We start from the raw sequence: 22,869 nt of genomic DNA, 5'->3' as shown, positions 1-22,869 counted from the left end.
ATGAACTTTAATTGAATAGTTCTACCTGGCTCCCTGGGAGTCTATACTCACAGGTTATTATATGAATGTACATAATTCAGTGCAAAAAAATCTTTAGCTCAAATCTTAAAGCACAATGTAATTAGTTGAAAAAATGACAATGTGCTAAATACCATTAACTATGCAGTATCAGCAAACAACCAAGAATCATAAATTAGCATAATTTTTAACACTTTGATTTAATCTAAAACATCTGCTGGATAAGCCAAAGAAAAATTGACCTGAATAATTTTTATTACTAACAAGAGAGAATAATTTTAAAATTATGACTATTAAAATATATAATATTAAGTTATTATTTTATTATGGTCAGACGACTTGTCACCAGTGTGCAGATGTGGATGGACTGTGGTTTTGATTCCTGCGACTAGACTATCATTTAACATTTTTAGGTATTACAATACTTTCTGAAATGCTCATTATTTAACAGATTATAGTAATGGCAGTCAATATAGTGAGCAATATGAAAGACTAGATAGAATTAGAGAAGAAAGTCTTTCACCATATTTTGAGTAATTATAGAATTGCTTAGTGTAATGAAATGAACACGTTTTAGCATTGTTGAAGGGAATATGAATGAGAAATGTACTAAAATTGTGTAGCTAGGGCGTTTCCCTTGTGCTATTTTCTGTGGGCATTTATTTTTCTGCTTAAATACCTTTCAGAAAGATAGTCTTCCTTGACTGGTAGAAAATGACAATGAAAATATCAAGGCCTAGAGTTTTCTTTTCCTTTCTTTTTTTTTTTTCTTTGAGATGAGGTCTCACTCTGTCGCCCAGGCTGGAGTGCAGTGCGGTGATCTCGGCTTACTGCAACCTCTGCTCCTGGGCTCAAGTGAGCCTCCCAACTCAGCCTCCTAAGTAGCTGGGACTACAGGTGCGCACCATGGCACCTGGCCACTTTTTTTATTTTTAGTAGAGACAGAGTTTTGCCATTTTGCCCAGACTGGTCTCGAACTTGTGAGCTCAAGTGATTCACCCGCCTCAGCTTTCCAAAGTGCTGGGATTACAAGAGTGAGCCAACACGCCCAGTTTAGAGTTTTCTTTGTGGGAAGATTTTCTTTAAATAAATAGGATTATTCAGATTCCTTTTTCAAGTAACGTGAATCTGGGCTGCAGCTTTCCGGGGAGACTGGTTTGTGGTCACCTCTTCCTGGACATTCCAATGCATTTCCTTTCCTTTTTTTGTAGTCTCCTGATAATGGGGAGTGAGGTAGGTGTTCTTCTGGTTTGTCCTTACCTTCGAAGCTGTAGTACTTAGAGGTCCCAGCTATATAGAAATAGGATCTTCCCACCTTGGACAGATCCTAGGTTTTGAGTTCTCTATCCCATCCCCTGGGAGGTCGACAGAACCGAAGGGGAATTTTTGAGAGTTTGGCAAATGCCCTTGGGGCAAAAGAGCTTCAGTTCTCTGCTTATTTTTCCAAGTCTTCTCTCCTTTCACTTGGATTTTTTTCTTTTTTTTTTTTTTTTGAGACAGGGTCTCGCTCTATCACCCAGGCTGCACTGCAGTGGTGTGATCTTGGCTCACTGGAGCCTCAACTTCCCAGGCTCAAGCAATCTTCTCACCTCAGCCTCCTAACTAGCTGGGACTACAAGCATGCACCACCACACCCGGCTAATTTTTGTATTTTTTGTAGAGACAGATGTCACTATGTTGCCCCAGGCTGGTCTCAAACTCCTGGGCTCAAGCAATCCTGCCTGGGCCTCCCAAAGTGCTAGGATTACAGGCATGAACCACTGCACCTGGTTGGCTTTCACTTAGATTTTTGTCCTCTTAATCCTGAAAATTTTGTCTGTGCTTTAATGCTTTAAAGATAACATATTTTATGTTTCATTCTGAATTTGTGGTGGTTTTAAGCAGGATGATTCTTCTGAATAATCTACTCAAACATGGTACCCAGAAACCAATGTCTGCTGAGTTGTTCATGGCTTTAAAAGCTCTGATCCATTTTAGACTCTCACAAATATCTCTTTAAGTAACTTTAATTAAAATATTCCATTTCTTTTACAAAAATATGATATTTGTCAGCCTCACTGATTTGGTATAATTTGGGAAAGCTCAACTAAATTAGTAGAAACCTCCACATGGTATGATGTTTTAAAATAAATTAAATTGTATATCTTGCACTGGCTTGATACAACTAGTAAAGTACCTAGTAGTTGTCTTCAGGGAACTTTAGCAGATAAAAAGGATTTGTAATGTCAGGCTGGGCACGGTGGCTCACACCTGTAATCCTAGCACTTTGGGAGGCCAAGGCAGGCAGATCTCTTGAGTCCAGGAGTTCTTGACCAGCCTGGCCAACATGGTGATATGCTATCTCTACAAAAAAAAAAAAAAAATACAAAAATTTGCCAGGCATGGTAGTGCATGCCTGTAGTCCCAGGTACTTGGGAGGCTGAGGCAGGAGGATTGCTTGAGCCTATGATGTGGAGGTTGCCGTGAGCCGAGATCACACCATTAAGCTGCAGCCTGGGAGACAGAGTGAGACCTTGTCTCAAAAGAAAAAAAAAAAGAATTATTTGTAATCTCATAATTATGTAAATAACTGGCTCTTGTAAACGTGCTTGAGGGTGCTTGAAAAGTTTGCTCGTGGAATAACACAAAGGGCCCGGATTTGAAGAAGTTGGTGAGTCAGGGACGCAGTGTGAGAGGAGCCTACGGCACCATTGTGTGGAATGGGGCCTGGTCATCCTCCTAAAGGTGGCTGCACATTAGAATCACCTGGGTTCTGGCTGGGATTGGCATCCCAAGATGTCACACCTGGAGTGAAGTGCAGGCATCTATGTATTTTAAAATTCTTTGAGTTGTTGGGAACAAGCCCCCCAAAATCTGGCCATAAACTGACCCCAAAACTGGCCATAAATAAAATCTCTGCAGCACTGTGACATGTTCATGATGGCCATAACGCCCACACTGGAAGGTTGTGGGTTTACGGGAATGAGGGTAAGGAACACCTGGCCCACCTAGGGCAGAATACTGCTTAAAGACATTCTTAAGCCACAAACAATAGCATGAGCGATCTGTGCCTTAAGAACTTGCTCCTGCTGCAGTTAACTAGCCCAACCTATTCCTTTAATTCGGCCCATCCCTTCGTTTCCCATAAGGGATACTTTGTTAATTTAATATCTACAGAAACAATGCTAATGACTGGCTTGCTGTTAATAAGTATGTGGGTAAATCTCTGTTCGGGGCTCTCTGCTCTGAAGGCTGTGAGACCCCTGATTTCCCACTTCACACCTCTATATTTCTGCGTATATGTCTTTAATTCCTCTAGCGCCGCTGGATTAGGGTCTCCCCGACCGAGCTAGTCTCAGCACAGGTAATCCTACCATGACACTGTAGTTGAGAATCACTGGATTGTAGTTCAAGCAATGGGGTAACAACTCCTGTGGCATTCCAGGTTCTGGCTGGGATTCATATTCAAAGATGTTATAGTTGCTGGGTGGGTTCCCAGGAGACAGTCATGTGATATTCAGTCTACCTTAGTGAATACTGGAGCTGGAAGGGATCTGACCAATCATCTGGTACAATCTTTGCAATGACTGTTTCTCATTGTGAAGGATTTATGTAATGCAAATAAATTATAAAATTTCTCCACAACCCAAATATTGAGTAAAATACAATAACATTTGAAAATCTGTTATAAAGGACATAAAGATGGAACAATAGACACTGGAGACTCCTACAGAGGGAAGGGAGGTAGGGGCTGTGGGCTGAAAAACTATCTGTTGGGTGCTGTGTTCACCACCGAAGTGACAGGATCATCCGTACCCCAAACCTCAGCATCACACAATATACCTATGTAACAAACCTACACTTGTATCCCCCTAACTCTGAAATAAAAGTTGAAGCCAGGCACAGTGACTCATGCCTGTAATCCCAGCACTTTGGGAGGCCAAGGCGGGCGGATCACGAGGTCAGGAGTTTGAGACCAGCCTGACCAACATGGTGAAACCCTGTCTCTACTGAAAATACAAAAAAATCAGCCAGATGTAGTGGCACATGCCTGTAATCCCAGCTATTCAGGAGGCTGAGGCAGGAGAACCACTTGAACCCAGGAGGCGGAGGTTGCAGTGAGCCGAGATTGTGCCACTGCACTCCAGCCTGGGCAATGCCACTGCACTCCAGCCTGGGCAACAGAGCAAGACTCCGTCTCAAAAAAAAAAAAAAGTTGTAATTGTTTTTTTTTTTTAAGAAAATATGTTGTAATATTGCTGGGAGAAGAGAAAATAGACCGCTTAGTTAATGTATTTCAGCTGGAAGCAGTCCGTATGGCTACTTAAACAAGGTTGGGAGGGAGGAGCAGCTGGACTGAGTGTATGGGGGCCCGCTTGCTGATTGCATCTTTGGCAATTTTATGACCAGCTGCTGTGTCTCCATATATTTTATTTTATTTTTTATTTTTTGAGGCAAGGTCTCACTCTGTCACCCAGGCTGATCGTAGCTCACTGCAGCCTTGGCCTCCCAGGCTCAGGCAATCCTCCTGTCTCTGCCTCCTGAGTAGCTGGGACCAGAGGTGCACACCATCACGCCTGGCTAATTTTTAAAAAACATATTTGTAGAGACGAGGTCTCCCTGTGTTCCCAGGCTGGTCTCGAACTCCTGGCCTCAAGTGATCCTCCTGCCTTGGCCTCCCAAAGTGCTGGGATTACAGGTGTGAGCCACTGCGTCTAGCATCCATAATATTAGTCATGTACAGACAGAAGGCATGATTGGCATTTTAAAAATTAGTTTTGTTATTACTTTATTTATTCTGCTGGCAGTCTTTATCCCAGCACTGAATGGCTGGCATTTTTAATTTGAAACAATGAATTACAAACTGTAATGATAAAATTAATTTTAAAAACAATAAATTGGCAGATAGTTCCCTCCATCCTTCTGCACATGTTCCACACTGCAGCCAGCCTGGGCCACTCACTACTTTCTGAAGGTATCCTGGCTTTCTCTCTTCCATGCCCAGGCTTTCCACCCCTCTCCTAGTCCACCCCCACCAACATGTGAACAAGGAAGCTGCAAGGATTCTTTCTGTTCTGTGTTTCAGAATCTGTGATACTATAAACTCACACTCCAATACCTCGGAGATGGTTTACCTCAAAAGATCAAATCTACTTCATATTTATATTCAATGAATAATTAGTGGAAGCTAATTATGTGAAGGTATAACAATAGATAAAGTGCTAAGTGCTGCAGGGAATACAAAAATATACCGCCATATGTGGCCTTAAGGAACTACCATTCTCTCCCCTCCTTTGTTTTATCATCTATTACTGTATAGGATCTTAGTCTCCCTACTGTTTTGCTCAATGCCTTATTGATCAGAAAGTTTCTGAGGTCAAGGGATTCTCTATTGGATTAACTCACTCTGCCAGTCCGTCTCTGCTGCTTTGCTACTGAGTTTCTGATACAGAATCAGACAATAGGTAGGTCAGCTTTTGCCAAACTTATTACCCAACATTTTTCTTCTCTGAGGTTCTCACACAGCACAGCTATTCTTGTCACTGCAGAGATGGCTCTGAATGACAGCTTCTCCCTAACCTCATCACTCCAGCTACCACTAAGCAGGGACCTCTTTCCTTCCACAAAATTTGCGCCAGGTCGGTGTGGTGACCCAGGCCTACAATCCCAGCACTTTGGGAAGAGGAGGCGGGAAGATCGCTTGAGCACAGGAGTCTGAAACCAGCCTGGGTAACAACGTGAGATCCTGTCTCTACAAAAAATAAAAACAGAAAAAAAAAATTAGCCAAACATGGTGGTGCATGCCTGTAGTCCCAGCTACTGAGAGGCTGAGGCTGAGGCTGAGGTGGCTGCTTAAGCCCAGGAAGTTGTGGACGTAGTGAGCTATAATCAGGCCATTACACTCCAGCCTGGGCGACAGAGCAAGACCCTGTCTCAAAACAAAATCAACCAATCAAACAAACAAAAAACCCCCAAATTTACTCTACGTCCTTTTTGTTTTTCCTTTTCTTCCCCCGAAGGTGAACGCCTCCCTGAAAATCAGTACTCATTTAAGTTGTATTATTTGTAACTTTTTTTTTTTTTGACACAAGGTCACCTGTCACCAAGGCTGGAGTGCAGTGGTGCAATGTCAGCTCACTGCAACCTCCGTCTCCTGGGCTGAAGTGATCCTCCCACTTCAGCCTCCCAAGTGGCTGGGACTATTCCTGGCTAATTTTAGTATTTTTAGTACAGACAGGGGTCTCAAGATGTTGCCCAGGCTGGTCTCGAACTCCTGAGCTCAAGCAATCCCCCAGCCTCAGCCTCCCAAAGTGCTGGGATTGCAGGTGTGAGTTCTTTATAGCAGTGTGAAAATGGAGTAATAACAAGGTATTTATGGACCTTAAAGCAGGAGTGTAAGGGTAATTTTGACCACATTCGTTACACAGGTCATGGTAAACGATTACATTTGTACACATTTTGGTGCCTTGACGTCAGCAAGGGTTGCCCAGTAACTTCTGACACACATTCATTCCGGAGATGTATAAAAATTCTAGTTACTTACATTAAATACATTTTTGGTAAAGAAGCCTAGTACAAGATGCCGGCTTTAGATAATAGGGCAGTCTAATGACTTCTGAATTCCTCAGATAAGGAGTTTTGCCTCCAGATGGTCTGCTTGATGGCCACCAGGTGATCTTTGCTGTCCTCAAAAGTATGTGAAAATACCTGAATTAAATATAATTGTTTATTATCCACAAAGAAATATGGTCAAATGGAACCAGCTTGAACCTGGGCAAAGATCCAGGGCACTAGATTTGCTTCCCGAGCTTCCCTGGGTTTGCTTTCTAGATTATACCTCGTTAGCCCAAATAATTACCCAGGACTAGGGGGAAATGAGGGTGGCAGTGAAGTCTAGCGATGATGCCAATACCCACATCTGTCAATACGGCATTTCTTCAAGAGGCTTGCAAGTTGTTCAGCCCCAGGAGAAGATACAAAAAAACACGGTACTCTCCTACATCTCAGGAATGAGGACAGAGGCTGTGATGGAAGAGGTGGTGCGTTCATATAAGTTCTTTAAGACTCAGAATGATGAAAATGCCATAAGTAGCCTGTAATTTTTCATGGCATTTGATTTTTTTTACTCCAGTTAAAAAATAAAAAATATTACATGAGTATTATCTAGTCACAGTGAAATTAAATATCATTTTATTGAATATTTGTTTTTGTGTAAGAGTTATCAATAATTTCAAATATTACAGAGTTCATGAAAAGATGTCTATTTCAACTTTCAGAAAACATTTGTGGAATGCCTGCCATGTACCGGACGGTGGGGAAGTTCCCCGTTAACTCTCCCCTCATGGTTCTCGTTGTTTCTCACTCCCTTCTTAGGTTGAAATTAAGATTTAAGAGCCTTTCTGTTAGATTTTTAGAAATTCATTTATTTGCAAATTACAGTGAAAAATTTCTCTTCCAGATGCATATAAATCCGAAGTTTTTATCCTAGTGAAGCGTACAGAATGCTATTGTTATGACATTTAAGTATCATAACATAATGTAGCTAATAAAGCTTTTTAAAAATTATGGTAAAGTGTATGTGAAATTTACCATTAGTGACATTGAGTACCTTCACCATGTTGTGCAATCATCCCCAATAAGTAGTTCCAGAACATTTTCATCACCCTAGAAGGAAACTCCTTTTTAGCAATCTCTCCCCACTCCTTTCTCTCAGCTTCTTACAACCATTTATCTGCTTTCTGTCTCCATGGATTTGCCTATTTTGGATATTTCATATAAATGCACTCATGCAATACGTTGCCTTTTGTGTCTGCCTTCTTTCACTTGGCAAAAATGCGCTCAAGGCTCATCCATGCTTTAGCATGTATCAGTCCCTCATTTCTCTTTATGGCTGAATATTCTATTGTGCCGTGTGGAGATACCACAATTTGTTTATTCATTCATCAGCTGATGGCCATTTGGGTTGTTTCCTCTTTTTTGGCTACTGTGACTAGTGCTGCAATGAATATTTGCGTGAAAGTTTTTGCTTGAACACCTGTTTTCAGTTCTTTTCAGTATATGCCCAGGAGTGGACTTGCTGGGTCATATGGTAATTCTTTTTTTTAACTTATTGAGGAACTGCCAAACTGTTTTCCACAGTGGCTACACCATTTAACATTCCCACCAACAACGAATGAAGGTTTTCAATTTCTCCACATCCTCTCTAACATTTATTTTCTCTATTATTCATTTTTTTTCCTGTAGGTTTAGATCCTAGGTCTATTTCGTCATTCTAATAGGTGTGAAGTGGTATCTTCTTGTGGCGCTGATTTGCATAATGACTGATGAGGTTGAGTGCTTTCCATGTGCTTGTCGGCCATTTGTATATCTTCATTAGAGAAATGTCTATTTAAGTCCTTTGCCCATTTTAAAATTGGTTTGTCTTTTTGTTGTCGAGCATCGGAGTTCCTTATATATTCTAGGTATTAGTTCCTTACCAGATATGTAAGATTTACAAATATTTTCTCCCATTCTGTGGGTTGTCTTTTCACTTTCTTCATAGTGTCCCTTGATATGTAGAAGCTTTTAATTTTGATTTTTTTTTTTTTTTTTTTTTTTTGCTGTTGTTGCTTGTGCTTTTGGTGCCATATCTAAGAAACCATTGCCAAATCCAAGGTCATGAAGATTTATTCCTGTATTTTCTTCTCAAAGTTTTATGGTTTTAGCTCTTACATTTAGGTCTTTGATCTATTTTGAATTAATTTTTATATATGGTATGAAGTACAGGTACAAATTCATTCTTTTGCATGTGAATATTCACTTGTCTTAGCACTATTAGTTGAAGACACTGTTCTTTCTTCATTGAATGGTCCTGGAACCCTTGTCAAAAATCAATTGACCATAGTGTATTGGCGTAATTTGTTTCTGGACTTTCCATTCTACTCTATTGCTTTATATATTTTTATACCAGCACAACACTGTTTTGATTGAAGTAGCTTTGCAGTAAATTTTGAAATTGGAAAATGTGAGTCCTTCAACTTTATTCTTGTTCAAGATTGTTTTGAACAGACTTGAGTACCTTCAGTAACTTGCAATCCCATATAAATTCTAGGGTCAGCTTTTCAGTTTCTGTAAAAGGGTCACTGGAATTTTAATGGGGATTGTATTAAATCTATAGACTAATTTTGGGAGTAATGCCATCTTAACAATGTTAAGTCTTCCAACCTGCCAGCACAGGATGTCTTCCATTTATTTAGGTCTTCTTTAATTTCTTTCAGCAACGTTTTGTACTTTTCAGTGTCCAAGTCTTGCACTTTCTTGGTCAAATTTATTTCTAAGTATTTTATTCTTTTTCATGTTATTGTAAATGAAATTGTTTTAATTTCCCCTCAGGTTTTTCTTAGACTTTTGTGTGTTGATCTTGCAACCTGCAACATTGCTGAATTTTTAAAATCAGCCGGAATCATTTTGTGGATTCTTTAGGATTTTTAATATATAGGACCATGTTTTCTGCAAATGTAGTTTTACTTCTTCCTATTTGGGATTCATTTTATTTCTTTTTCTTGCCTAATTGCTCTGGCTAGACCTTCTAGTATAATGTTGAATAGCAGTGGGGAAATCAGGAATTTTCATGATATTAGGGGAAAAATTTTCAATGTTTTGCTATTATGTTGTTAGCTGTGGGTTTTTATGGATGTCTTTATCAGGTTAAGAAAGTTCCCTTTTCTTCCTAGTTTGCAGAGTGTTTTTACCATGAAAGGGTGTTGGATTTTTGTCAAATGCTTTTTCTTATCAATTGAGGTGATCATGCTGTTTTTTCCCCTTCATTCTATTAATATGGTATATTATTACATCGATTGACATTTGTATGTAGAACCATCCCTGCATTTCTTTGATAAATCTCACTTGGTCATGCTGTGTGATCATTTTAATAAGCTGCTGGATTTGGCCTGCTAGTATTTTGAAGTTTTTTTGCATCTATATTCATAAGGGATATTGGTCTGTAGCTTCCCTGTGAGGTCTTTGTCTGGCTTTGGTGTTAAGGTAATGTCCGCCTTATAGAATGTCACAGGGTGCTCCTTTCTCTTCCATTTTTTGGGAGAGTTCGAGAAGGATTAGTGTTAATTCTTCTTTATATGTTTGGCATAGTTTGCCAGTAAACTCATTTAGTCCTGGACTTTCTTTGTTGGGAGATTTTTGATTACTGGTTCAATCTCTTTACTTGTTACAGGTCTGTTTGGATTTTTTATTTCCTTTTGAGCCAGTTTTGTCAATTGGTGTGTTTTTTCATCGAGGTCATCTAAATTGTTGGCAACAATGCTTCTATGAATAAATTTGTTTATAGTTAAGTTGCCTAAAATACCATGCAATTCATCTAATATGTATAAAACTTGAAATATATTATATTGCATCTACTTTTCTAAATCAAAACATGTAAAATTCCATAAGAGATTTAAACAAAAGTCTTCCCTAAATACTAAGGAACCAAAATTTTCTGATTGGGTGTTACTGGTAAATTTTATTACTATAGAGCATAAACCCTCTTTTTTTTATTAAAATAATTCCTCACATAAAATGAAATCTTTTATTTTTTTTTTATTTATTTTTTTTTGATGGAGTCTCGCTCTGTCACCCAGGCTGGAGTGCAGTGGTGCGATCTTGGCACACTGCAAGCTCCTCCTCCTGGGTTCACGCCATTCTCCCGCCTCAGCCTCCCGAGTAGCTGGGCGTACAGGCACCCGCCACCACGCCTGGCTAATTTTTTTTTATTTTTTATTTTTAGTAGAGACGGGGTTTCACTGTGTTAGCCAGGATGGTCTCCATCTCCTGACCTCGTGATCCGCCCACCTCAGCCTCCCAAAGTGCTGGGAATTATAGGCGTGAGCCACTGTGCCCGGCCGAAATCTTTCTTTTTCTACCTAGTGGCAGGAATAGTAAGAGTGAAGACTGCTGAGTGAGAAGGTCTTTGTATGAATCCCTGCTCTGCCACTTACTTGCAATATATAACCTTGGGGCTAACTTCTCTGTACCCCAATTTCCTTAGCTATAAAAAGGGAATAGAACTACCTCATAAGGTTGTTATAAGGATTAAGTGCATTGATGCATACAAAAACTTTGATTCCTAGTTCACAATAAACAATATTAGCAAATATTATTTTCCGTAAGGTGGTTATTAACTGGGGTTAAAATAAAAAGCATCTTAGACATCTCAATGACTTATATCTTATAGGATTTATCACAAAATGTTACTGCCCAGTGCATTTTTGCAAACAATAACAATTCACTGAGAGTAATAACATTCACATATGTAATTAGAGTTTAAAAATGTAAAAAACTTAGGGTAACAAACACTTTAAACTTATTTTTTAGACATTCAATAAGCCCATTCTCCCACAAACTGTTTGATTACAAAGAAGCACAATGGGTTAACTGTGGCAAAACATAAGAAATAAGGCAGGGGAGGCAGATACAGACTTGAGAACATAAGGATATCCAAACAATTTTGTCAATATCAAAAGACAAAATCAAAACATCTTTTATAATATAAAACAAATCCATATAATTAAATACTAATTAGGTGAAAGATTATAGGGTATATAACATTTATTTTCTCTACATAAATTTGCATATCTTAAATTTAATGCAAAACATCATGTTTCAACTTCAACTTAACATCATAACATGTAGTTCTTGGTGAGTCTAGATGTAATGGAATGAATATTTAAATAGACTTCAAAGATCCTATCAAGTTTTTATTTGGTTATTGTTGCTTTAAGTCCTTAATGCTTTTCTTTATTTATTGGACTAAGCCAATTTTAGAAACAAAATCCACAACCAACACACATATAATGCAGATGTTTCTGAAAAAACTAAATAGTGTTATCTTTAGTATATCATTAAAATAGTGGTTGTGGTTAAACAAACAAGCAAACAAATTACTGCAACTCATTTATGATAAGCTTACAAAAAGTAACATTTTAAAGTTTCATCTGGTGTGTTTGCACTGTAGGAAAATAAATCTGGATGTGAGTAAGATGTGCTTGACTGAATAAATGAAACCCCCAGTTAGCACTGGGTTATGTTCCAGAGCAGTGCATTCGTCCTCACTTATTACTTCGGGAATGTGTGATCACAATCCACCAGCTGCAGGTTTTAATTTACTAAGAAATGAAAGGAATTAATCCTGGTCCATCCACTGCTTCCTCCCTTGTTTTACTATCTTCATTTTGACATCAGGCACTTTGTGCCCAGGATTGTGACAATGCACATTTACTAAAAATGTATCCATTGATAGAATAATTATACTAAATTAATAAAGGAAGACGGTGTCTTCATGTAGAAAACGGGGCACTAAATTATAATTTTACAGTCACAACACAAGCTCCAGCTCTTCCTAGGCACAGTGGAGCAACCTAAAAAGGAAAAAGAGATATGTATTGGATCTGTAGGTTAAAATGTCAACACTACTATGCCAGTTGGTGAAATATTGAAACAGCCTGTACTTGTTGGCAAAGGGTTGTTGCCCTGGCCCCTGCTGTATCAGCGCTGTTTCTGGCCTGGTCCCCTTCCCAAGAGCCACCTTCCATGGCAAAGTTTCATAGACTAAGTTGTTTTGGGTACATCATGATTGTGTAGCATTCATTCTTCTTTAAAGGTGATTTTTAAAACAGCTCAAGAATTAATCTACATGAAACACTCTATTTTAGCCAAAATGATACACAGTATGGATATGAAGAAATGCTGAACACTTACAGTAACTCTGTGACCAATATGGAGGAAAGATCAAGTGTTATCTAGAGAGGTCCTCTAACAGCCATGCTATCTCAGAGGTAGCACACAAAATACTCTGAATGCCTGGGGATCTGCTTATTCTAGAAGAACTCATAACCTCACATTTTTTGACTACCTTCTACGTGCATGGCTGAAAAGTCTAAACCCATTCTACTACTTTTTAGCAGACTAAATAAATAATAAATGCTACCCATCCAACTCCCCTGGGAGTGGAAACAAACTCAGTGAATGAGCTCTATTACAGTGAGATAGAAGTCAGGGGAGGGTTGCTAGGGGAAGGAATGCAATCTAAATTTATGGATAAAGAACAATTCTTAAATCTTTCACCTCTTTTTTGAACAATAGGAACTCTAGACACTGGGTAATTCATAGTGGAAATAAAAGTGTGGACAAAAATAGTTCTGAAGAATTACTCTGAACACAGTAAGAATCTATGCATTTGACCCAGGAGAGTTAAAATGTTAACATGGATTCAGCGGGTGAGTAATGCAAAGTACTAAGAAAGTTTGCTTTGTACTTATATATGTTAGGGTATGTACTAAAGTATTTTTGTCAAATGCCAAAATGACTTCCTAATCAGTTCGACCCCCTAGACCAATGAGTAGATTTTAAGAACAGGTCAGACTTCAGTTATAAGAGAATTCTCAGTAGTTCTCCATCTGAATCAGTTGTTTTGATCACTGTAAGTCTCTTGGAACAATCAACCTATTTTAAAACCATACTTATTGATAGCATTATCGAACTGACCTCAAAAATCATTTATATCAAAATGTCAGTTTATAATTAGTAGCTCTTCTCAAATCATCCAAGACACTTAGTCTCTACATTGTGAATAGCTGACACTGTCATGACAACTAGCTAGAAAGTGTAGCTTAGAGAATTTGTTAAATACAATGCAATCACCTCTTGCTTTGAGGTAAGGCTGGTAGTGAGGTGGGTAGTGGCTTAGGACTTTGTCATCTCATTTTAGTGCCTATACAAATGTCCATCTGTCAGAACACTGAAAGGAAAACTTCAAAATTTTTTTGTTTGTTTGGCTTGTTTTTGAGATGGAGTCTTGCACTGTCACCCAGGCTGGAGTGCAATGGCACATCTCGGCTCACTGCAACCTCCACCTCCTGGGTTCAAGCAATTCTCATGCCGCAGCCTCCTGAGTAGCTGGGACTACTGGCACACACCACCATACCTGGCTAATTTTTTGTATTTTAGTAGAGACAGGGCTTTACCATGTTGCCCAGGCTGTCTCGAACTCCTGAGCTCAGGCAAACCACCTGCTTCGGCCTCCCAAAGTGCCGGGATTACAGGGGTGAGCCACCATGCCTGGCCCAGGAAAACTTTTATTTTTCAGACACTATGATAACGAGTTCACATTTTTAGGTGCTTTAACATAGAGAGGTGGCTTGCAAGCAAAATAGCTATGTGGACACTGATGATCAATTTTGATATGGGGTGATTTAGCATAAAGCATTAATTATAAATAATAACAAGTCTCAAATAACTGGCTGATAGGTCTTAAATCATATATATAACTGGACTTAGGGCTTAAATACATGTCAGAAAAAGAGATTCTTATCTTTCTGAGCTCCTTGGGTGTCATTCACAACTATTTTTGCCATAGTGGGAAGCTGATATTAGGTAATCATCTAATTTCCAATGAAATCTTGTAGCTCTCAATCTTATCCCTTCCTCCCTCCATCAAGTGATCTCACTTAAGAAACAGGATAAAGCCCACACAATCTAAGTCCTTTTCTTCTCTTTCTCTTCACTTAAAAACTCCCTGTACCTTTCTACACTCAAATTCTCATCTTTTCCCAAGCCTTGGAGGGTAAGATCTTTCTTCTAGTCTGAGGGTGACCAGTCTGCTTTTTTTTTTTGAGAGGGAGTTTTGCTCTTGTCACCCAGGTTGGAGTGCAATGGCGTGATCTTGGCTTACTGCAACCTCTGCCTCCCAGGTTCAAGCGATTCTCCTGCCTCAGCCTCCCAAGTAGCTGGGATTATAGGTGCACGCCACCACGCCCAGCTAACTTTTGTATTTTTAGTAGAGATGGGGTTTCACCATGTTGGCCAAGCTGGCCATGAACTCCTGACCTCAGGTGACCCACCCGCCTTGGCCTCCCAAAGTCCTGGGATTACAGGCATAAGCCACTGCGCCCTGCCCCCAGTCTTTGCTCTTAATTCTGTTTCCTGCCCTTTTCTCAGAAAGGTGCCCTTCAGTTTCACTTTTTCTTTCTAGTATCTGGAATCTCTCTCTACCCTCTTCTTGTCATCTCTATTGTGGAGCAAAAAAAAAAAATCCTTGGCTCTAATTCTAACTCCACCATTTATTTGCTATGTGGCCTTGGGTTAGCTGTTTAACTTCTGTGTCAGATTCCTCATCCTGTACAGTGCGAAAATACCAGAACTCAACCTTATAGGGTTGTTGAAGATTAAATTCTTTACAGTGCTTAGAACAGAGCCTGGCCTGTAAGATATGCTCAATAAATACTAACTTTCTATCATCATCATTTAAAAACTGCATGCCTCTCTAGCTCCTACACTCTATTCTTCTGTTTACTTTTTTTTTTTTTTTTTAGATGGAGTCTCGCTCTGTCACCCAGGCTAGAGTGCAGTGGCACGATCTTGGCTCACTGCAATCTCCACCTCCTGAGTTCAAGCGATTCTTTTGCCTCAGCCTTGTGCCTCAGCTGGGACTACAGGAGCATTAATTTTTGTATTTTTAGTAGAGACAGGGTTTCACCATGTCGGCCATGCTGGTCTCGAACTCCTGGCCCCAAAAGATCCGCCGACCTTGGCCTCCCAAAGTGTTGGGATTACAGGTGTGAGCCACCGTACCTGGCCTCTTCTGTTTACTTTTGAAACTGTGTGCTGGCTTCTGCTTCTATCAGATTTTCAGAGGGTCCCACAACTTTAAAAATGACAAATCTTCATTCTTTCTTACACTGTTGAAACTCCTTACTCCTCCCTTTAGATGCTCTATTCCATTGTCTTCTGAGAACTTCTCTCATCATTCCTTTCCTGTTTTCTTCAGAGACCACACCTCCCAATTCAACCCAGTAAGTGTGTGTATATAAAGAAAGATCAACAAGACCTGGCAATATCTCTTGAATCCATCTACATTGAATGCTTCAAGCCTTGCAACTGAAGCAATCCTCTAAATACTTTTCCTTTTATCCAGCCCTCACTTCCCCTGCCCCTAACCCAACCTATGCGACCCCAACTGCATCATTCTCTTGGTTGAAAGTTTCTGCTGGCTTCTTGTTACCAAACTCTTTAGCTTGGCCTTCACACATCCCCATTCTTTTAAAAAATCATTATTATATGATTATTTTTAAGAGACAGAGTCTTGCTCTGTTGTCCAGGCTGGAGTGCAGTGTCATGATCATGGTTCACTTCAGCCTCAACTCCTGGGCTCAAGCGATCTTCCGCCTCAGCCTCCCAAGTAGATAGGACTACAGGTGCGTGCCACCACACCTTGCTAATTTTTCAAAATTTTGGGGGCTGGGCATGGTGGCTCATGCCTGTAATCCCAGCACTTTGAGAGGCCAAGGTGGGTGGATCACGAGGTCAGGAGTTTGAGACCAGCCTGGCCAACATGACAAAACCCCGTCTCTACTAAAAATAGAAAAATTAGCTGGGTGTGGTGGCGGGCACCTGTAATCCCAGCTACTGGGGAGGCTGAGGCAGGGGAATCTCTTGAATGCGGGAGGTGAAGGTTGCAGTGAGCTGAGATCGTGCCATTGCACTCCAGCCTAGGTGACGAGAGCAAGACTCTGTCTGAAAAACAAAACCAAAACAAAAAAACCCACAAATTTTTGCAGAGATGGCGCCTCACTTTGTCACCCATGCTGGTCTGGAATTCCTGGCCTCAAGCGATCCTCCCACTTTGGTCTCACAGATCTCCATTCTGACCCCAATCTTCCTCTCCAGTAAGCACTCCTTCTCCTCTCAAGCACAGATCCTATAACCAGTCATACTTCAATACGTATTACACAATTCTGCTTTGGTGACATTTCTTTCACATTTTCTCACAATTTCTTCTTTCCAATCTTTTTGAATTGGATCAATTCACTAAGGCTTGGTTTAAATCCCCCTTCATTCTCACTAAAGCTTTCCCCATAACCACTTTCTTTTTTCTCTCTTATCTCCCGTATCACTTGGCGCCTGTACCATGGGACACTAAATACCCACTGCCTTGTGTGGTGCATTCTCCTCTTGCACATGTAGATCTTACCTACCCAAGACCTCAGGTTACATGACCATGGGTCTTCTCAGAAGCTTTCTTTTCTTTTCTTTTTTTTAAGATGGAGTCTCACTCTGTCACCCAGGCTGAAGTGCAGTGGCATGATCTCTGCTCACTGCAACCTCTGCCTCCTGGGTTCAAGCGATTCTCCTGCCTCAGCCCCCCGAGTAGCTGGGATTACAGGCACGTGCCACCATGCCCGGCTAATTTTTTTGTATTTTTAGTAGAGATGGGGTCTCACCATATTGGTCAGGCTGGTCTTGAACTCCTGACCTCGTGATCTGCCCGCCTCAGCCTCCCAAAGTGCTGGGATTATAGGCATAAGCCACCATGCCTGGCCTAGAAGCTTTGTTTTCTTGACCATACTTATCATGGCTCCTTGTATACAAGAAAATCTTGGCTCAGTTAAACATTTATTGTCTTTTATGTACCAAGTACTGAACTGGGTGACACAAGCACAAATTCCTGATTCTGTTCTTGGTGATGATGGAAGCAAAGATCTCAAAAGATCATTTTTAGAAGTGCTAGACCCTCCCAGAAATACACAAGGGTGAAATTCTTTCTGTTAGTAAGACTGCCAGATCAGGTTTCTTACTCAGTGTAATTTAGGGTTGCCATCTTCATTAGGTTATCAGGACTTTAATCTGCTCCCAGATATCAATGGGTTGAGTATTTAAAAATCCGACTGCTCACACATGGGCAAGTTGTTCAAAGTTTTCTGACTACTATCCTTGTTTTTATTTTCCAGTCTCCCCTCCCATTGTTGCAGCCCTCCAGTAGTCCTATCAGCTTTAATCAGGCTAGAACACTTCATCATGCAAGTGGTAGCAGATAATTAATAATTTCTCTGAGTATTAACTTACATCTCAAAGGTAATTCTGGATTTTAATTATGTTATAAAATTAAACATTGCCTCTTTTTCTCATCGCTAATCAAAACGTGATTGTCATATTTATGCCATATATTTCAGTATTGGACAAGATTGAGGGGATCTGTTTTACCATAAGAATTGTTTTAATAAAAAGAGAGTCAGTGTAATAATGAAACATGAATGCCATACCTGGGTCCACTCATTTGTCTGGGGATCATAAGCCTCCACAGTATTAAGGTATGCCTGTCCATCATACCCCCCAACAGCATATAACTTATCACCAAGTAAACAGACCCCCACTGCATCTCTGCTGATGCTCATGGATGCTACTGCAGTCCACATGTCTGTTTTGGGATCATATCTGTAAGAAAATTTTAGAACCGGAGCTGACATTATTCTTAAAATATTTATGTAAAAACAGTTTTGTTCTTCAAGTCTATCTTCTGACTCATTATCTACTATGTAATCAAATACATTTGAACATATTTTAGAGAAAAATATCAGTATTTCTCTGAAAACTTTAACTTACAGTATTATATTAATAGATCCACTTAACAGATGTATAACACTTAAAAGGAGCTAGTGTCAATACTGAAGACTGCTTTCAGACCTTAGATTACCTACCGAAAATTTGGGGAAAGCAATGCATTAAGCTCTGTGTAAGATGACTTACACCCTCAATCATTGTAGCTGTCCATTTTTGGGCTGTCTTGCTCTTTTCATGAGGTGTCTTAACTAGAATTGCCCAAAGTTGTATAGCTAAGAGCAGATACATCATGCTAAGATGACTGATACTGCCCCTAAAATCTGTTGTATCAATGAACAGCTTTCCACTGAGTGTAGTACAACAGCAAGCCCATAATTCATGGGGCCAAGTATATAAACACTTCCACATTCCTTTCCTGGATTACAACATGCAACGAGCATAGGTCTCAATTGTTTTCCCCCCAATATAGTGAAATGCAGTTGTAACTTTCCTGCTTTCTCAAACAACACCAATACAGAAAGCACTTGTTATGGTTTGGATGTGGTTCATCCCCACCAAAACTCAACGTTGAAATTTAATTGCCAATGTAATAGTGTTGGGAGGTGGGGCCTTTAAGAGGTGATCAGGTTGATAAGATGGATTAGTGTTTTTCTCCTTGGTTAGTTCTTGTGTGAATGCATTAGTTCCTGTGAGAGCAGACTGTTATAAAGTGAAGTTGCTTTGCATTTTTGAATGCCGACTTTCCCTTCCAATTCTCCAACATGTTATCACACAGCACAAGGCCCTCACCAGAACCTGCCAGATGCAGCCTCCCAATCTTGAACTTCCCAGCCTGGAGAACTGTGGGCTAAATAAACCTCTTTTCTTTATAAATTAATCAGTCCTGGATATTCTGTTATAGCAATGGGAAACAGACTAAGATAGTGCTCATTATCATCAACAAACTTTGATTTTACTTTTTATCCTTCTTATGGTCACTTGGTCACTTACAACTTAAATACATCAAACTAATCTTTAAAAAAATCTGATCACATCCAACAGACACAAACACACACACACACTCTCTGTCACACATGGGCACTCATTAACTTCCTATTTTTCTTTATAGTCCAAAACCCTTAACAATGTCTCAAGGAGTCTAGATGATCTGCACCACCCTGCCCACTCCGCCTCCTTTCCTGCCTTTCCCTCCCCATCACTCTTTGCTCTTCAGCCACAATGGCTGCCTTTCAGTATTTCTTTCTGCTTTGGAGTGTTCAGACAAGCTCCTATTGATTGTACCACCTAAATCCATTCAATTCTCTCTATTCCTTGTACTAGACTAAACATAATAAATGGGAACCTGACCTACCATCCAAATCTTCCACTGCTATTTGGCTCTCTACCTGGCACCACACTTGAGTTTTGTGAGGCCAGTTGGGATGACTTACGTTTGTAAGCCTTATTATTAGTTTTTTATTTCATATCAAAACACATAGAAATGTCCCTATCCTTTTTGCTTTTTATTTAGTCTACAGCCCTTAAGTCATTCTGCCTAAAATTCATCAAGCTCCTCTTCTTATTAGGTCCAATATCCCATATAAAATAAAATTGCCTTGCATGTAGTGCATGCTCAATACAAACTTATTTTTCTGGAAGTATCACTTCCTGTGAGAGCAGGCTGTTATAAAGTGAAGTTGCTTTGCATTTTTGAATGCCGACTTTCCCTTCCAATTCTCCAACACGTTCTCCAAATATATGTAAGTATCAGAGACTTATATATATCTTTTTTGTTCCTAGTTTTTCTTCCCAGGAAATTACCTTTCCACACAGTCTGAGAGTCTGGAAGTCAAGTTGGATGCGGGAGCATCGTGCCCCCCTATAGCATACAGCAGTCCATTCCAGGTCGTCACTCCTACGCCACCTCTCCTTTTTGACATCTGTGCACACAGTGTCCACTTATTAGTATGAGGATCAAAACATTCTACTGATTTGAGACAAGAACTTCCATCACGACCACCAACTGCATAAAGTCTGCAAAAAGAATATATGAAATGATAAATAAGACATGTGCCATTATGCTTAGAACAAAGAGGCTCTTCTTATGTTGTTATCTCATTGAATTTAAGGTGCCATCAGTTATAAAACACACTGTCAATGTGTGTGTCATTAAAAAAGTATGCTATGTTTGAAATGACACATGTAAGTATCATATATCACTCTGTATATACATGAAAAGGAAAACAAACTGCACATGAAGGCAGTGACAACTGTTTCATCACTGCCATCTCTTTGACAAGTCACCATTGGTTGTAATATGCATGGAAATTCAGAGGTGTTAAAATATGTCTTAGAATAGACAAAATATGGTGTATAAATATACCATGGCTTTTTTTTTAATAGTTAAGACTTTATTATCAAGGAAAGAAGCTAACCTTCTCTGAGCACCTACCATAGGTTAGGCACTTCACATGTACCGATTTAATCATCACAGTGATATGAGAAACTGTTTGAATCCCTGTTTCACAGTGTAAAGAAACAAGGGTTCACAGAGAGTAAGAGACTTGCACAGGGTCACCCAGTAAGCAGCAGAATTGGGACACATAGTTTCATTAATGAACAGTTGGACAGTCAACACAGTCATGTAGAATGTACTTGTAATAGTGAAATAGGAGAATAAAAATATAGCTTGAAACAATGGCATAAAAAGTAACATTTGTTATGTATGAACAATGATCCTTCATTAATTTAAATTACTGCAGAAAAGGATATAGGTTATCATGTGAGCAACCTAAATGTTACCTAGTAGATCAATTTAAATTCATTATCAATCAATACACTGCACTAATTTGAAAGTCTTTTACTCTGAACCTAAAAGTTTGTAAAATATTTTAAATATTTGAACACAATATTTCTTGTTAAGCAAAAATCTTCTTGTACTTACTATTCATTTGGGAAGCTTTCCATAAATATTTTTTCTACTAGTTTTTTAAAAGAGTAAATTTACGTTGTTGCTCATAGAAAAGATTATACATTTTGAATTTACAAATGTTAGTTAATACTTAACTGTTTTTATCATTTCTCAAGAAATAATATTTTAAGTATCCCAAATTTCTGCCAATTAAAACTCTAGTTATTTATATTTGGGTAAATCTACATACTTAACCACAGATTTCCTAATTAAGGTATGCCACTATGTCACTGAAACTGTTTCTTAAATAATAAGATGACCATATCTTAAACAGCAACATATGGTTATAGCAATATCTTGTTCTAAACTTAAACTATATTAATAGTATGGAAATTGAAATTTATTTGAAACTTATCTATTAAAATTTATCATAAAACTTTTTATCTGTTAAAAACTTTTATCTATTAGTAACTTGTTTATGTTCTAGTTCTTAATATTATTCTTATCATCAACTAATACTTGGTAGAAGAGTTATCTAAGTATGGATCACAGAACATGAGAAGCCTTTAACAATTAAGGAATATCAATGATTTAAAATAATTCACACATGCATATGTGTGTGCACACGTGTGCACACCCACACATACCCACACACAATAGGCTTTAAAGCATCTTACCCTCTTGAACAGTGGATTCGTGGGACTTTATTGTAAAGAATGGCATAGTACAATGATTAAGAGCATGAACTCTGGAACCAGAATCTGTGGGTTTGCATTCTGGTTCTACCACTTACTAGTGTGACTATGGACAAGTTATTTAACCTCCAACTGAATTTCATCATCTATAAATCCTGCCTCACAGGATGCTTAATAATTAAATTTAAAGTACTTTGAACACTGCCTAGTACATGATAATCATGGCATAAACATTTACAGAGAAAAATTAATTACGTCTCTGTGTTCTTGTAGAAAATAGCACTTACAGGAGATCTTAAGTGTACAAACAATGTTTATATTCAGCTAATATTAAGGGTTAAAACCAATTGGTAACACTTCCTAAATAATCATTATCTCAAGCAATGATTTTCAAGCTGTGTTCTAAGAATAGGACTCTATGAAGAAATTGAGGGAGTCTAAAAAATGGTTCATTTGAATTTCAAATTTTAAAAATTATTTTTAATTTTCAAAAATATCACCTGGCTCAATTAAATGCCATGTAAGACTCAGAACTCATCTCTCTTCACCACGATAGTGTCTATTACAATAAAAAGAGAAATATTATGTCAAGTTGTGAAAGTATTGTACTACCTATATATACTTAATAATAAGATTTAGGTCTTGCCTGACTTTTAAAATTATGATCAAGAATGCAAGTAGGCTGGGCACGGTGGCTCACACCTGTAATCCCAGCACATTGGGAGGCCAAGATGGGAGAATTACTTAGGCCCAGGTATTTGAGACCAACCTGGGCAGCACAGTGAGATCCCATCTCTACAAAAAAATTTTTTTTAAAATTAGCCAGGCATGGTGGTGTATGCCTGTAGTCCCAGCTACTCAGGAGGCTGAGGTGTGAGGATAGCTTGAGCCTGGGAGGGAGGTTGAGGCTGCAGTGAG

The 22,869-nt window shown here is 39.1% G+C and overlaps 1 protein-coding gene across 22 annotated transcripts in view; it reads right to left on the bottom strand.

Moving 5' to 3' along the window:
- KLHL5 (kelch like family member 5) overlaps nt 1-22,869 on the bottom strand; it is a 98,275-nt gene that overhangs the window by 9,703 nt on the left and 65,703 nt on the right. For 9 of the 22 annotated variants that reach the window (XM_017008276.2, XM_047415752.1, XM_011513700.3 and 6 more), the window contains 2 exons: nt 20,167-20,379; nt 18,069-18,240 (listed from right to left, as the gene is read on the bottom strand). In XM_017008276.2, the coding sequence (XP_016863765.1) occupies nt 18,069-18,240; nt 20,167-20,379 (385 nt within the window). 22 annotated transcript variants of the gene reach the window in all.

Source organism: Homo sapiens, chromosome 4, assembly GCF_000001405.40.
Source record: "Homo sapiens chromosome 4, GRCh38.p14 Primary Assembly".
Taxonomy (NCBI): Eukaryota; Metazoa; Chordata; class Mammalia; order Primates; family Hominidae; genus Homo; species Homo sapiens.
The sequence above is the reverse complement of the archived record's forward strand: the minus strand, read 5'-3'. Positions and strand labels throughout refer to the sequence as shown.